Genomic DNA, 17,881 nt, shown 5'->3' with positions numbered 1-17,881 from the left:
TACAGAAAAAACAAATAACCTAATTAAAAAACAGGCAAAGGATCTGAATAGACATTTTTTCTAAAGAAGATATACAAGTGTCCAACAGGAGTGAAAAGGTCCTCAACATCATTAATCCTTAGGGAAATGCAAATGAAAACCACAAAGAGACAGCACTTCACACCTGTTAGGAAGGCTGTTGTCAAAAAGTCAAAAGATAGCAAGTGTTGATGATGAAGTGGAGAAATAAAACGTCTTGTACACTCTTGGTAGGAAAGTAAATTCGTACAGCCATTATGGAAAACAGTTTGGTGGTTCCTCAAAAAATTTAAAATAAATCTATTATATGATCTAGCAACCTCACCTGTTAGTATATAGCTAAAGGAATTGAAATCAGTATCTCAAAGACATATTTGCACTTCCATATTCATTGCAGCATTATTCAGAATAAGCAAGAGGTGGAATTAACCTAAGTGTCCATAAGTGGATGAATGGATAAAGAAAATGTAATATATATTTATCATGGAAGATTACTCAACCTTAAGAAAAAAGAAATTCTGGTATTCGTGACAACATGAATGAAACTGGAGGACCTTATAGTAGGTGAAATAAGCTAGTAACAGAAAGACAAATACTGCATGATATCTCTTATATGTGGAATCTAAAAACGTTGAATTCATAGAAACAGAGTTTCAGTTATAAGTTTTAGAGATCTAATGTACAGCATGGTAACTATAGTTAATGATAATTTATAGTATACTTAAAGTTTGCTAAGAGAGTTTGCTTAATTGTTCTCACCACACACACACACACACACACACACACAAATAGTAACTATGTAAGGTGATGGATATGTTAATTAGCTTGGTTGTGGTAATCATTTCACAATGTGTAAATATATCAAACAATCACATTGCAGCATTATGTATATACACGTTTTATTTATTAATTATACCTCAATAAAGCTGGAAAAATGTAAAGCATAAACGTAAGTAAGAAATCCAGGTCAAAGGGTGCTGATGTTAATCCAGCAATATTGCATATGCATTCCTACATGTAATGTGTCAGTTTGAGGACTTTCTCCTAGTGTGCTCTAAATTAAGGTTTAGGGAATAGGGGGAGGAAGTTGTCTCTTCTGCTTGGATAAATTTGCTTGTTTCTTTAACAATTTAACAGTTAAACAGTTTATTTTTAAGAAACAACAAATTTTTCAATTTTCAGAAATTTAAAAATTAATTTCTAAGAGGGGGATTGGTACAAAATTCAAATGCAAGATTATTTGAATTCTTTGTTCAGATAATTATATTTTACAACTGAATAACAAAGTCATGGAAATGCTAACACATACGTATATTGGTCTTTTCCTTTACTGGTTTCACATTATTTTTATTTGGGAGGGAAGATCTTTCCTCGTAATTTTCCTTTTAAAAATATTTTGATTTCACTCATTGTTTCTTTCAGGTGACTCTTAGAATCATCTAGTCAAAATGGAATTGTGACTGTAAGTGCACTAAGAAAAGATCCCTTTGGGAAGAATGAACTTATTTTGACAAATATGTTCAATATTTTTACATATTTAAAATATTGACTCTCACCCAGGAAAATATGTCTTAATTTATTCAAAACTTTTCTTTTGAACTAATGGAAAGTTTCATAGTTTTACTGAAGTCTTGAATATTCCTGACATATTTATTCTTCAATAGTTTGTGATTTTTATTTCTTCGTGAATAGAATTGTTTCCCCTGGTTATTCTGGCACATTGAAAGCTAACAGTCTTTGTATATTTATTTTTATTCAGCTGCATTTTAGAATTCCTATTTGTTCTAATGATTTTAGGTTGATTTTCTTGCTTTCTGTACAAAATGCTGTCATGTTGAGTGGTTGAAAACCTTATAAGAAATATTATACTAATCTATTACAGGGAGAAAAGATAGATTCTACTAAGAAACATTTAGAACAAGATGTTAGTATGTAAACTCTTAAGTGTGACTTCCATAGAGCAGTTGTTCTTAGGTTTGACTTGCATTGGAATCACCTGGGGAGCTTTAGAAAACACTGATGCCTAGCCGCCTCCCTCAGATACTCTAATTTCTGTGCATCAGGACATTAAAACTTCTTTCTTTTTCTCTTACTTTTTTTTTTTTTTTTTTTTTGACAAGGCCTTTCTGTGTCACACAGGCTGAGTGCAGTGGCACGATCATAGCTCACTGCAGCCTTGATTACCTGGGCTTCAGTGATCCTCCTGGAACTCAGTTTGGATCATGTAAAATTTGAGATACCTATCAAAGTCTAACAAGAAAGGTTAAGTAGGCAGGTTAATATGGTCCAAGTTTAGAAGAAAAGTCTGAGCTGAAGAAATAAATTAGTGATACTTAAAACCGTGTGGCTAGAAGAGCTCACCAAAGCAGTACATGCACATATAAAAATAGAGATGTTTAAGGGATGAACTCCGGGGCTAACCAGAGCTATGAGACAGAATACAAGCCAAGGGAAGAAAAATATTTACAGCCGAAAGGAGTGATCGACTGTATCAAATTCTGCTGCTAAGTCAAGTAAGATGAGGACAGAGAACTGACCATTGGATTTGGCAAACTTTAGGTTTGGTTTTTTATTGTGGAATCATCTCACTAACTGGCTACACTTCCTTTCCTGGTTTTCCATCTTGTCCCCCCTCTACTTTGCTTCTCAGTATATTATGAAGATGTTATGAGGAAAAGAGACAGTGTTCTTATGCTTAAGGATCAGAAGACCCATATACAATTTCCTAAGTCTAGGAATGTTACTCCTCTTTCCTGTGCCTTCTCTCCGAAAAAATCTTTCTTCGCTCATTTTGTTTGACTTACTTTATGACTAAGGGTTGTTGATTTATCAAAATCAGCTTTTTAAAAGTTTATACTAGTAACTACTTTAGAATAAAGAGAATGTCATATAGCAGAAATTGAAGTAGAATTTAAAACTCATTTTATTGCATTTTCTTAGAGAATCATCAAACACTAGATGAGCAAGTGTTGAGGTAAAGAGTGTATTACCCACTGTCAGAGAAGACTTTTGGAGGAGTTTAGAAATTTGCTACACTTCATGGTTATCAATTCCAGTTTCCCGTTAGTTCCCACTTCCCATGATATCTCCTCATATGATATATGTTGAAATTAGGCCCAAAAATAGCTCTGATTTCCTGTTCAGTTTTAGAATCTACAGTGCTGTCTTTTATTTATTTATCTATTTATTTATCTTTTTAGAGACAGTGTTGTTATAATTGCCCCAGCTGATCTTGAACTCCTGGCCTCAAGCAATCCTCTTGCCTCAGCTCCCAAGTAGCTTGTATTACGGGAGTGAGCCACTGCACCTAGGTCTACAATGTTATCATTTTATGTTCTCTCATCTGAACAGTCTATAATTTTAAAGATCCAAATTCCACTACAATATTTGTTTGTGATGCTTGCCATCTCTTTGCCTGCTATAAAAATTAAATTTTAAAATAGAGGCTAGTAGATTAATTTTTAAAACAAGATTTACACTAGTTTCTTTCATGGTACCAAGTTATCATTTCTGAGCGTTCTAAATGAGGTATATTCCTCTTTGAATAATACTGCATTCATTTATTTGCCAAGTATGTATTTATTAGCTACTATGTGCCTGGTGCAATGAAAATGTTAAAGAAGGCAGTTCTTACTCTCAGTCAGTGGAGGGGATGAATAGATGATCAAAAGAAGGTGATGCTTAGCTTCCAGGAGGGGACCAAGAGTATGCCTTAGACGATATAAAGTCTTGAGCTGAGACTTGAAGGATAAGAAGGAGTTTTCGAGATAATGTATAAGGGGAGAGGCATTCCAGGCAGAGAAAATACACATAGATCTGAGGGAAAATGGCATATCTGGGGGGAATGCTGATCATTTACTCTTGCTGGTCACAGAACGCATTGAGGAACCTACAGACAATGAGCAGGAGCTTTAGGTAAGAGTTAGAATATGTAGGATATATGTATATACTGAACTATATACTGGAGTAAAGAATTTGGGGCTTTATTTTATTTCTTCCTCCAGGACGGTGGCAATGAGAAAAGGCTTTCTCTTTGGGGTGCACTAGGGTAGTGGTGTTATTTGTCAGAATCTCTAAAGGCCATCTGTGGAGTCTTAACATTCTGAAGCACTCACTCCCTTTGGATATTGTAATGCAACCCCCCCTCCCCATCTCCCATTGTCACACATCCTTCCTTCCACAGGGACGTTACCTTCACATACTGTGGGTTGAACCTGTCCCTCAAAGTGGTCTGGGCCTGAGAACCACTGCAGGAGACAAGAAGAAGCCACAGGAGCATTTTAGGTAGGAAAAGATCATGATCAGCTTGAGCAATTTCTCCTCCCTTTCCTTGTTTTGCAGATATTTTACCATTACAATATAGATGGAGATTTTCATCTATTAATAAAAGATGTTCTCTATTCACAAATGGAAATGGAGCAACAGTACACAATTTCTGCCCCAGAATTCATGGCTGGTGCAGGTAAAAAGCTCTTTACAGTTTGCTAGTCAATCCATTTGCTTTACCTAAAAAGTTCATTTATATAGTTTTAAATGGTTTGCAGAAGTCTTTTGAACAGTACTCTTGAAGTTTCATGTCTTTTCCTCAAAACTTGACAGTCTTGGGAGTGACAAAAAGGGAGAAAATATACAAACATATGTGATATATTCATAGCTGGACTTAAACAATGATAAAAGAAAATTTTCATGTTACAGCCTACTTCCAGTAGAATTTTACAATCCTACTATCTAGTAGGAATCATTTCCTCTGAGTGGTGTTCTCACTCTGAGCAAATCATTTCTTAAGTAGCAAATTCTCCTCACAATTTGATGTATATCAGTTTAACCGAAAGACTTTTCAGAAACCTAATATGTAGCAAAGCTCACAAGGTCTTTAGAACATGACACATCAAAAAAGATGAAGGTAGAAATAACAAAAATGTGCCCTTAGGACTTAAGTTGGATGGGATCCCCTTTCTCTGGCATGGAGTCTAGGTATCTGGAGAGTACCTTTTTTTTTTTTTTTTTTAAGTGCTCACTTGAATGATCATGTTTTGTTTTCACTCCCACACTCTCACAATGCCCAAGAAGGGCAAATAGTAAAATGATGCTGTTATTTGATAAATTAATTACTGATGATAGACTCGTTTTGAATTCAAAGTGTTAGGAATTTAATGGAGTTTCTCCTTAGTGGCTTACAGATCTCCCATACCCTTCTACTATCTAGTAAGTATCATGTCCTCTGAACGGTGTTCATGCCCTGAGCAACATTCATGCTCTCAGAGAAACACCTCCTCCTCCGCAAAGAGCTGAAGGAGGTTGGTGGGACACAGATACCACCTGAATTATCCGTAAATACAAGCCATTTTTAAGTGGAAGACAGTTCTACTGCAACAAGCTGAAGAAAGCCAGCACCATCTAGTGGAAGGAGAGTCACACAGGAATGGACGCCTGTTGGTTTGGTTTCCTGTTCTGTATTTTGAACTCTTTGCTGAGACTTAGGTGTGCATTGTTAATATTGGTCTCTTTTCATAATAGACTTAACCGAACGGTCTCTGACCAAGCTTCAACACTGCGTTTTTTTAGTGGTTTGCGGTATAATAATTATAATGATGGCTATGTTTATTTAGATTTTGTTATACCTAAGCATTTCTCTAAGCCCTTATCTCAGGGCTTCCAGGTACGGTTGTGCAGGTTGTATACTGCACAAGGTTGCTTGGGTGAGGTTATGGGGAGACTGGAATCCATCTTAATCTCCACTCACCCACATGGGTGCCCTAGAGAAGGGTTGCATTCACTTGGAGAGATGATCAAAATTTTCCAAACTGCACAAAGGTGCCATATGATGCAGTTCTGGGTTTTCATATGCATTATCTCATTTAACCTCATGGCATTCTTGCAAAGTAGGTGTCATATTATTGTGACCATTTTTCAAGGAAGAAGTAAGGCTTAGGGGGTTAAGTAAAATTGCCTAAGGCCACATAACTACCCTGAGCAGTTTTTGGTCAAGTGGCTCACAGCAGAGGCAAGCTCAAAGCCTCTCCTGTGCCTAGCAAGTTTGATTGTGATGACTGCTTCACTCACTGACTCAAGCAACTCAAACCAAAAACTTAACAAGCAAAGCCAAAAATGTAAAAAGCAGTGCAACAGAGAACGGCCTGCCATGCACCTGAGGACTTCATCTGCCACCTTAGCATAACTCCTGTTTGCTCTCTGAACAGGCAAAACGCATCCTTTCGCTGGGTTCTTGTTCATCTTGTCCTTTCAAATGCCCTTTCTTGCCACTCCCCCATTTCCTTCAGTAGAAATCCTTCTGCTAATTTAAGACCCAATTTAGACCATCCTTCTCCATCTCCATGAATTTTTCTAATCCCGCCAATCTCTTTTCCTCCTTTATTTCCCTATCATATTTATTTTGTTTGCCTTACATAGTAATTATTTATGTACCTTTGTTACATCAGGATTTATTGTAACTTTTTTAAGGACAGGAGGTGTAACAGGCTTTGGACAATGTGGCCATTCAATAAATGAGAATTAAATTGAAAACCTAGAGACCTAAACAATGGCAAGAGAAACCTGCAGTTTTATTATATGCTTTATGTTCTCACTTAAACTAAATGTCTAAATAGGAATTTCATAATATTGAATAATGACAAGCTGGGAGTCTTAAGCCAAATCCACAATGCATTCTATAGCATAATAGATTTGTTTCTAATAAAGACCTAGTGAAAATTGAGTTAGTGTGATTTGCCAAATTAACTCAACTCCCAGGAGCAGAAGGAGTTATAGATTTGCAAATCCCAAGGTACCAGGCATGTTGCAAACTTGTTCTAAATTAAGTTTTAACTTTCATTTTGACTGCAATTATCTATTAAGCCCTCAGGCTACAGTGGGGCAGATAATAGAGAGAAAAGAAATCAGAACAACTCTTCATGGTATTTTTGAGACTATTTATAGAGAGTTTACTTTGCATGGAAGTGAACTGGTAATACAAAAGAATTCATAGAACAAACATATAACTATTGTAACCTCTACAGTGAGTACATAGCAAAACAAATTTAACAATAGTTATTCACTGAAAATGTAAATCTAAGATCCTTATTTTTAACTATAACTAAGAAAGTATTTTTATCTAAAATTTTCCCAATTACACTTATAAAGAAAATGTAGTATATCTACACCATGAAATACTACACAGCCATAAAAAGAATGAAATCATGTCCTTTTCAGCAACATGGATACAGCTGGAGGCCATTACCCTAAGTGAATTAATACAGAAACATAAAATCAAGTACTGCATATTTGTAGGAGTTAAACAATGATATACGTGGACATAAAGATGGATACAATAGACACTGAGGACACCAAAAGGGAGGAAGGAGGGAGCGAGAGGGGCAAAGGTTGAAAAACCACCTATTAGTACTACAATCACTATTTGGCTGTTGGGTTCAATAGAAGCCCAAACCCCAGCATTATACAATATCCATGTAACAAACCTGCATATGTACCACCCGAATCTAAAATAAAATAAAATAAAATACCTTGCATGTAAATTACATTGTCATAGGTTTATGTTAATGAAGACAAACAGAACTAGTTATTTCAAATAGATTGACAAAAATAGGGGAAATAAGACTTTATAAAATAGTTTAAAGATAGCAATGATTCAGTAGCCTGAATCTATAAGAGGAAGGTGGACTTTAGCACATAAAATTCTAACCGTGCATTCAATGTCTCCCTGAGAAAGAAAAGACTAAGCTATTGAATGAAATTGCTGTGGTAAACAGCAATCTCTCTCATTAGCTCAGATATTAAAAGAGTATATACAAAAATTGGCAAAGGTCTCCATAATAAGGAAAAATATCAGTCTGGTGATAATAGTTAGAAAAGCAAATGCCTGAAATTAACTGAGCTTGCACAGATAAATAAGTGAATGAATAAAAAAGCAAGTACTAAAAGTATAGAGGAAACAAAGTTCCAGAAAAATAAGTAGAAGGAGGAAAGAGGGGTATGTTCACAGTCTGGACAAATGGCAAACACTAAAATGACAGATGTTTAGGCCAAGGCAAATTACTTCCTAGAGGCTAAAAAACAGAGTTCTAGTCACAGGAATACTGCTGGTAATTTTTGAGCAACATAGAGAATGAAAGAGGGACCAAGAGGCTTTAGATGAATTTTGTCATTTTTTTTCCAACTGATACAAAATATCAGCAGGTAGCTTGTGAATAGTGAAAACAGTAATAGATGATCTAGTATGGGTTACGAATAACTTTTATAATTTGAAATTTATTTTACTATTCATTTGTCCTTTTATTCATTCAACATTTAAGTTGAACAATGAGAACACATGGACACAGGGAGGGGAACTTCACACACCGGGGCCTGTCATGGGGTGGGGGGCTAGGGGAGGGATAACATTAGGAGAAATACTTAATGTAGGTGATGGGTTGATGGGTGCAGCAAATCACCATGGCACGTGTATACCTATGTAACAAAACTGCACATTCTGCACACGTATCCCGGAACTTAAAGTATAATTTTTAAAAAAGTAATTTCTACATGCAAAGACTACGCTTGATATTTTTTCAAAAGGAACACTCATAAACAAAGAACATGATGTCTAGAATGTCTTTGATAGAAACTGTCCTTGCAACCCTGGGGATAAGATGAAGAAACATGAGCTGGATGGAGAACAGTTAGTGGATTTAAAACTGTTTGCATAACCATATCCAAAGAAAATCTAATAACGGATTGATGTCAGTTTGACTCTGTATTGTTCAACATGTTTGCTATGTTTATTACCATTTTTGATCAATTTCTAAGAGGACCACATTTTGGAGTTTTCAAAACCTGAGAAGAAGAGAATTCTGGCAGAAAGAATTTAATTTGACTTACAATGTTAAATAAGGTATGACAAAATGAAATTAATTAAAGTCGATCTGAATAAAAACTGAAGCTATAATAAAAGCAAATGTCATTGTGATGTGTTCAGTTATCTTAAGTGAATGAAAAATGTGATTGTTATATTCTAACAGCTGTTAAAGGAAGGGAAACTGGGCCAGTTACAGAAGCATTTTATGTAAAACATAGTGCTTGTTCAAGACAAGTGACAGTTCTTCTCAGTATCGAATAAGAATGAATAACATTCACCAAAATAACACATAGCACAATTATTATTTTTGTAATAAAATGCAAAATCATGGCCATATCCTGCAATAATGGGAAAAACTCAACAATGGAAGATATCAATGATATAGTAAACCTTTACATCTAAGTTCAAAACATCAGTCATGTAGGTATACAAATAATATGAAAAAGACAGAGACTTCAGTTTATTAAGTAGGAGGTGGTTATGTAAAAGATATTTTTATAACTACAAATGTTGTCTTACATGATATCAATAAGAGAATAATTTCCATATTAAAATAGATAACAGGAAGTCTTCTTGTTTGACCACGGCTGCAAAAGTTGACATCTTTCTCTTTTTCCTCCTGAAAATTTGTGCATAAGCAACACGGAGAATGACAAGAAGAATAAAGTAATAGAAAACATAAATTCCATTTTCACAAAACTGGAATAATGTAACCAGCAGACCCTGCAAGAAATGCAAGGACTAGTAAAAGTACAGAGTGGTGAGAAAACCTAGTGGCAGCAGATCTTAGACATGCCACAAAAATATACTTTCTAAAGGTGAAGAACTCATCTTCACAGTGAAGTGTGTAGTAAAAGCTGTTTTCTTTTACTGCAGCATTCCGTGCAGGAACTAAAGAGAGCAAGGTGGTGGTACAAGTCTTCTTGGATCTAATTTGGCTCAGAGAAGCCGAGGATGTGGAGCTACACAGAGAATCCCATAGATGAGTGACAGCTATGGGAAGCAGTCCCTTTGTTATCACTTAGACATAGTTGGCCAAGGAAAATCCAACTTATTTTAAAGTGAGAAATAAACATGAAATTCCTATGGCACAAATATAAAGACACTATGAAAAATATAGAAAAAAGCAAAACTTTTCAACGTATGAATCACACACACATGGAAAATGTTGCCATTGAACAGATGAAAATTATGATCATATATTTTACCATTAATTAAAACAACAACAACAAAAAACACAACTTCATATATAAAAAAGAGTAAAAAGTACAAATGCAAAAACTCAATAAAGAGATGCAAATAAAATAGAGGAAGATCAAATTAAAGCTGCAAACTCAGAAAAGAAGAAAATAAACTAGTCACAAAAGTGAAAATCAAATTTGAAGGATTACAGGACCATAAAAAATATAGAAGATGAAAATAAGAAAATAAAATAAAATAAAATTGAAATAAAGAAAGTCTTAAGGATAATAAAGCATATTCCTATATATCTATATATTTATATGTATATTTACATATAAAACAGTCAAGTAAAATCCAACAAATTTATAGTTGGAGACCCTAAGGAATGAAGCTGAAGAAAATAGAAGCCAACAAGAATTGAAAGTCATAAATCAAGAAAATTTTCCTGAAATAAAAGAAGGTTTAAATCTAAATACTTACAGGACACACTATGCATGCCAGGGAAAAGTAACCAAAAATTTGATATGGAGACATAGTCTAGGAGTGTCAGTGGATTTCAAAAAAAAAAAAAAAGAAAACTTCATGCTGCCAGGTTAAAAAAATCAAATAATTCATAAAGGGAAAAACAATCTAACAAAATATTTTTCCAAAGCATCACTTACAAGATAATTAAGTAAAGAAAATATAAGCAAACAATTTTATATCTAGTCAAGCTGTCCTTCAAAGATAAAGGTTACAAACATATTGTTACAACCAAACAATAATGGCTTGGGTAACTATGACAAATGGAGTAGTAGGGAACATTGAAAATATTTCACTGTAGAAATAATAATAAAAGAAATGTAGGGAATTAAGATTACTGAGCAGAATGTTGATGTTATATGCCCTCACAATACAGAAGTGATACAATTAAAGTTGTTTTCTTTAATTGTGTATGATTTAATTGTGTATGATTGCCTCATGTGGAATATCTGAGATTGAAAGGAGATATATTGTATCTGACATACCAAAATAATAGAGGTATGAACATATTTAACATATGAAAGCAAGCACTAAGAAAGGCGGTGTTTTACTAGAATCAATGGAAGAGGATATGCAAAGGATGAGAGAGAAAGAAGGAACGTGATAGTTTCATTGTTTTTTCCTAGTAGGGAACTAATAGGTGTTGTCTAGAAAAAATGGAAAACCAAGAGTTATGTAATATAAATATAATGTTAATCCTTAAATTAAAAATACAAACCTTCTTAAATATCTGAAAAATTATCCAAAAATTGAAACAGCCTGCCTAGGCAAAGATATTTTTTAAAACTACCAAAAAAAAAAAAAAAAGGAAACATACCTGTCATATTAAATGCAAGTAAGCCTAACTCATTGCTTAGGGAAAAGGATCAATGTAACTTATTCATGGTGGAGTCTTACATCTGTCTCCATATTTTTCTCCCCTATGTGTCTTAAATACAGCCCAAGGGAGCTGAGAGTTAAACAAGTATGATGTAGATCCAGTAAAGTCTTCAAGACTGAAATAGAAAAAATAAAAAGAGTACTTTGGAGGAAAACAATCATGGAACTACTTAAAGATGTGTAAGCTGCCTGTTACTAGATAAGAAAGTAATCCACTCTTCAAGAAAAAAAATATTGCTTGATGTAAGATCTTTTGAACAAAGTACAGTGGGTTAAGGAATTAGCTGTAAGACTGCCACAGAGATGGAGAAATGGAATTGGCAAGTAGAATGAGGTTCAATGTTAGAGGGCCTCAAACTTGGGAATGTAGATATGATGCTACTGGCAGTAGGAAATGGCTGAAGGATATTGAGTACTGGAGTGCTAACATGTAAACAGTGTTTTTAACTAGCGGTTCTTAAAGTGTGGTTCACAGCCCACTATCATTATCATCACCTGAGAACTTGTTAGAAATTCATATTCAGGTCCTATCCCTGACTTACTGTATCACAAACTGGGGGCCTGGGGATAGGATCAGGGAGGCTTTAGCTGGAGCCAGCAATCTGTGTTTTAACAAGTCCTCAGGTGATTCCGACATATACTAAAATTTGAGAGCCACTGTCTTAAAAGATTGTCCTGGGCTAAACAGATGCTTAGAAGGCTGTTGCATAGTACAGGAGTGAAGTGTTGAGAAACTGGAAGTGGGTAGAATGTTGCAATAGTGAATCAGAAAAAAAAAAAGAAAAAAAAAGGAGATGGAACCTGGTGATCAATTTTATATAAAAAAAGAAGAGATGTCAAAAATGATTCTAAAAAACATTTTGGCAAAGAATGTGGCACTCCAAAGGGGATATTTAACAGGCTAACAATCATGTGGAAATAGACTGCTATCACTTTTAACAGAAGCATAGCAAATTCAATGAGTAACATGTATTTCTTTGGTCTATCATATTACTAGGTATTTATAAAAGCGACCTAATGAAGTTCAGTTAAAATAATATTGTAAATTTGTAATTTTTGTCCCCTGCCTTGACCCAAGCACAAGACAATGGTAGTTTTTTTTTAATTAATAAGACCCAATCATGCTAAAAATAATATAAACATTTCTGTAGAACAGAAATAAAACTGGAACATACTTTTAAATGATTGAAGCTACAAAGCTATTGGTCTTTAGACTTAGATCTAAAGTAGTCTAGAAATTTGAGACTTTCTGGATAATGGGAACCAAATTTACTCCACTCCTGGAAGGATACAGAAGCCAGGCCTACCACATGAAATTTAAGACTGGAATCAGACTCCCTCCTCAAGAAAGGAGGCTAAGAAAAACTATGTTGATTGCTAGGGTCACAGCTCTTATAAACTGGAGTGTTTGGGATGGCAGGGGGAGGGAGGCTAGAGGGAGGAGGTTTAGAGAAAGCCCTCACAGATCAGCACACCAGCCGAGCTGCTTCTTTGCTTGAGGACTAGAACCGTGGTATCTTCAGAGGCCCCAAGACAAGAAATAAATACATAAACAAATAAGACTTAGTTATAGACTGGGAGCTCTAGGCAAAATGCACAGACAAATGAGGGTCAGGTGATGGGAAGAAAGAAGATTCCACTTACGATGAGCATTTAAACTAAATTTCCAAACCCTAAGATGACAAAAAAAAAAAAAAAAAGCAAATCCAGAGGGAAAGGAGAGGTTATGGGGAGGCGGGGGGGAAGCTTGGTGATAAAATAAGTGAATTATATTAGAAAATAAAATTAACTAACTCTTGCCTGTGGGGAGAAAAATCTCTATTTTTACATAAATGATGGAATTAAAATCATAGACAATAATAGAAAAGAACATGGAAGAGGTGATTTCAGGGAGTACTTTTAGAGCATACTAAATCTTTGCATTTTTTCAGTAAGAAGCTAAAAATTTACTGATCACATTTAGATGTTGTTAAAAACACATAGCTGATCGTTTGTTAAAATTTGATAGGTCACCATTAGAAAATGAAAAGTAAATCATTTTTAAACCAGCAGGGACAAAAAAAGACAAAAAAGAGAAAAAAGAAAAATGTCAACAATTAATTAAATAGCATAAAATAAGGGTATAGAAAGCAAAGAGAAGCATAATAAATTTAAAAGATGGAAAATATAAATACCTCAGTTATAATAAATGTAACAAATGTATAAAACTCATCTAATTAAAAATATATACTACTTAAAGTACACACATTTAAAATAACATGTTGCAGAAAATTGAAAAAAAAGAGATAGAGTGAATATATTAAGAAAATGTTTAACAAAAACAAAAAACCGTGGGGTAATAATATCAGACATACCAGGAGTTAAAAGAAAAAGCATTAATAAGGAAAGGAAAGAAAAATTATAACAATATAAGGAACAACCACCAAGAAGATACATCAATCTTTACGATTGGTAAACTTATATGAACCTGAAAAGAACATAAAATATATAAAGCAAAACCTGGCAGAATTATAAGGAGAAATAGTATCCAGGCTACATAAAGAAATTCTAGGCTGGGCGTGGTGGCTCGTGCCTGTAATCCCAGTACTTTCGGAGGCTGAGGCGGGCGGATCATGAGGTCAAGAGATCGAGACCGTCCTGGCCAACATGGTGAAACCTGTCTCTACTAAAAATACAAAAATTAAGCGGGCATGGTGGCGCGTGCCTACAGTCCCAGCTACGTAGGAGGCTGAGGCAAGAGAATCGCTTGAACCCAGGAGGCAGAGGTTGCAGTGAGGCAAGATCGCGTCACTGCACTCCAGCCTAGTGACAGAGTGAGACTCTGTCTCCAAAAAAAAAAAAAAAAAAAAAAAAAAAAGAAATTCTACAATCACTGTAAAATCACTGTAAAACAAGACAACTGGTCTGGCACACTGGCTCACACCTGTAAACCCAGTGCTTTGGGAAACCAAGGCAGGAGGATTGCTTGAGCCCAGGAATTTGAGACTAGCCTGGGCAAGATCCCTACAAAAGATGTAGTGAGACCTCCATCTCTATAAAAACATTAAAAAAACTAGCTGGGCATGATGGTGCATGCCTGTGGTGTGGTCTCAGCTACTCAGGAGGCTGAAACAGGAGGATCACTCGGGCCCAGGAGGTCAAGGCTACAGTGAGTCATGATCATGCCACTGCACTCCAGCTTGGGAAACAAATGCAAAAATAGACAAGTGGGACTATATTATCAACTTCTTTCACTTTTCTTCTTAAAAATTTTGTTTAAATTAAAACATTGCTGGTGTGAATTTGGTGAAACAACATCTCTTTTACATTGCTGGTTATTTTGTAAATTAGTACCACTGTTTTGAAAGACTTGGCAATGACCTTAACTGTTTATATTTTTTGATATAATGCTTCTCTTTTGGGGAATTGAACCCATATTTTGGCTTGGATACACTTTATTATCTACAAATAAAAAGATAAACTGGATTAAAAATCATATTTTCTATTTTTAAAATTGTTTGATTGGCCTTCCTGGGACATATTATTATGATATTTCATCACTTTCACAGGGTGATTAATGAAATGAAAGTCCAAATATTTTGAAGTAAATTTTACATAGTTAGCATTTTTGTATTGTTCTTCCTTAACTCATAGATTGACCTTACACTTGTTTTAAACAATAATTAAATGCAATTAAAAACCACAGTACAACGAAAATGAAGAACAACTTAATACTGAATAATAATCAAAACTGTTGAGGCTTTGTATGTACAGGTTTGATAAAGTGCTCCCAATCTCACTTGACCTCCACTAACCACAGCATGTACTCAACTGCTGTGCAGTTGGTGCTTCTCAATTGTATTTGTTTTTATGGTAAATTTAAAGAAATGATCATTTATTCCTTAAAAACAAGTGGAAACAAATATTACAACTTTTATTGACCCAAATGACCTGGAACGCAGACTTGAACAGCTAGGGGTTCTTGAACCACTGTCAGGAAATGATGTCCTAGTCAAACCATTGTGTGTTTTACAGATGGAAATATTGGCATAGTTCCAGAGGAGTTAAAGGACTCACCCAGGCCGTACAGCTGGTAAGTTTTAGAGCTATATTCCTGCTGAGAGTTCTTTTCAGTTTTAGTGATTTTGAAGAGAAATCCATATGGACAGGTAAATTTGTTAGAAAAAGAACTATATAAATGCAGTGGTAATGGGAAATGGATGGGGCTCAAGAAGCAAAGATATATAAACCTACTTGACCCAAGTTAGGAACAGGAAGGGAGAAATTGTCTGATAGCTCCCTTGCAGTGGTTCCTTGCAGAACTAATACAAGATTTACCAAAGGATTCTTTAGGGCTATTCTGCTAAGGCCTATAATTTGTCAAGGTGAGTCATTTCAAGCCTAAGGGTAGAGGTAAGCAGGCATGCCTGCTAGAGTGAGTGAGGACGTCAGAAGCCAGTTTCTTAGTGTGTTTGGCTTTCCTTGCTCATGCCCAGATCATTCCAGAAATAAAGAAAAGGCCATTCAAGGAGGCATCACATGGCTACTCACATGAATATTATACCAGTAACAGTCCCTGCCACTCTCGGTGGAAGGGACAGTCAGGGAACATCAGGGTGGGTGATATAGTCAAAAAGTAAGTGCTACCTTTCACCACTTATAAGAGCTATGGCAGGCTGGGCGCGGTGGCTCACGCCTGTAATCCCAGCACTTTGGGGGGCCGAGGTGGGTGGATCACGAGGTCAGGAGATCTAGACCATCCTGGCTAACATGGTGAAACCCCGTCTCTACTAAAAAATACAAAAAAATTAGCTGGGCATGGTGGCGGGCGCCTGTGGTCCCAGCTACTTGGGAGGCTGAGGCAGGAGAATGGTGTGAACCCGGGAGGCAGAGCTTATAGTGAGCCGAGATCGTGCCACTGCAAGCCAGCCTGGGCAACAGAGCCAGACTCCGTCTCAAAAAAAAAAAAAAAAAAAAAAAGCTATGGCAGTAGTTGTAAACTTTAGGTATTGTTGACAGTGACTTATATCCCATCATAGTGCAGTTTTTCCTTAGTCAAAAACATAATAATAACAATCATTATTTGCTTCTAACTTCTAATTGTCTAAGTCATCCGTACAAAGGCATTCTTATCACATTCAAATTCCCTTCTGCTTCCTCTTTTTTGTAACTTGCCAAAGAAATTAGTTATACTTAACGGGCTTGCCTCTCTGTTACAAGAGTGTTTCCTACATGTCCCCTGCAACCACCACAGCTACACTATGCATTTAAGATATGTAAATTCCATTTAGCATCCTTTTCTACCTTGTTTACTGGCCTTGTGCTACTGTGGGTTCATCTTCTTGTTCAGCTGGATTTTATAATAACCTTGTCCACCTTTCTTCAGCCTCTTCCTTTTCCCTGACTACTCCCCTTCCCCTAGGGGCTGACAGCAGATGCACTGACTCTCTCACTTCCTTCCAGATTTTATGGTCTCTTAAGTCAATCTCATACATCCTCTAACTATTAAAAATGCATGCAATAGCATTTTAAGGCCACATAGGATCACACACCACCACCCACACCAGGTAGTAATGACTTTTTAAATATTATGTTGGCCTTTTTTTTGGGCCCTAGCTATTGCTGGACCACATTTTTTCCCCTTGCTATTTACATGTATCTGAGATCTTTTAGCTCAAACTCCTTTATGCTGTATTGGTTGTTATGTTTCTTCCCAGATGAATTTACCAGAACATTTAAAAGAAGAAAAGCTTTTTATTCCCTCAATGTTAAGATGTTGCCAAGATTGCCATTTACGTCTGTCTCTTTAGCATGACCACCGGACAAAATGACTCCTTAATGGTTGAGAACGGCCAGTCTAGTTTACTGACAGGTCCCCAGAATCCTCAGTACTTACAGTAGTTTCTGATACAGACTAAACTTCAATAGACTTTGGCTTAATAAATGATTATTTTAGTTGTTATGTAGTTTATTCAGTTTTTAAAAAACATTCATATCCTTCTCACATTTCTGAAGTCCTTTCTCTATTTTAGCTGTTGTCTTCTGTCCCCCATTTTATCATGTTTATTTCACTGGTCATTGTATGTTGGACGAGATTAGTTAGAAATATAGTATCAACATTTATTATGTATTTTCATAATTTTTCAACTTTTTATACTTAATTTTCTCATTCTATATCTAAATTATGTTAAGGTATTCATTTTTAAAATAATTACTGTTTTGTTACCATTTTGTTGATTTGTATATTCTCATCACCATTTACATTAATAATGCATATTTATTTTAATCCCACAAAATAGTTTTTATCTCCTTAGACAAACATTTTTGCCTTTCATCACTTATTTTCTTTCTTGCTTTTAAATGAGGAGCAACATTTCCCATACAGAAGTGGAGTTAAGCCTTCCCCAAATGGCACGGGTGAGGTGGCTAGAAATATTTAATATTCAATCC

General features: G+C 35.4%; 2 protein-coding genes across 4 annotated transcripts in view; one reads left to right on the top strand and one right to left on the bottom strand.

Annotated features, from left to right (window-relative positions):
* The window catches only part of NDUFA5 (NADH:ubiquinone oxidoreductase subunit A5), a 64,655-nt gene that overhangs the window by 15,211 nt on the left and 31,563 nt on the right, over positions 1-17,881 (top strand). The window contains exons 3-4 of one of the 2 annotated variants that reach the window (NR_111926.1): positions 1,441-1,480; positions 15,467-15,524. Coding sequence is in view for 1 of the 2 variants with exons in the window: in NM_001291304.2 (NP_001278233.1) it covers positions 4,360-4,480; positions 15,467-15,524 (179 nt within the window). In the remaining variant the exon portion in view is untranslated. Of the gene's footprint in view, positions 1-1,440; positions 1,481-4,359; positions 4,481-15,466; positions 15,525-17,881 lie in introns of both variants that reach the window. The other variant, NM_001291304.2, reaches the window with a different exon arrangement.
* The window catches only part of ASB15 (ankyrin repeat and SOCS box containing 15), a 72,474-nt gene that overhangs the window by 53,041 nt on the left and 1,552 nt on the right, over positions 1-17,881 (bottom strand). The window lies entirely within an intron of this gene.

The sequence above is a fragment of the Homo sapiens genome, chromosome 7 (genome assembly GCF_000001405.40).
Source record: "Homo sapiens chromosome 7, GRCh38.p14 Primary Assembly".
Classification (NCBI taxonomy): domain Eukaryota; kingdom Metazoa; phylum Chordata; class Mammalia; order Primates; family Hominidae; genus Homo; species Homo sapiens.
Note: the sequence above shows the minus strand (reverse complement) of the source record. Positions and strands in the feature narration are given on the sequence as shown.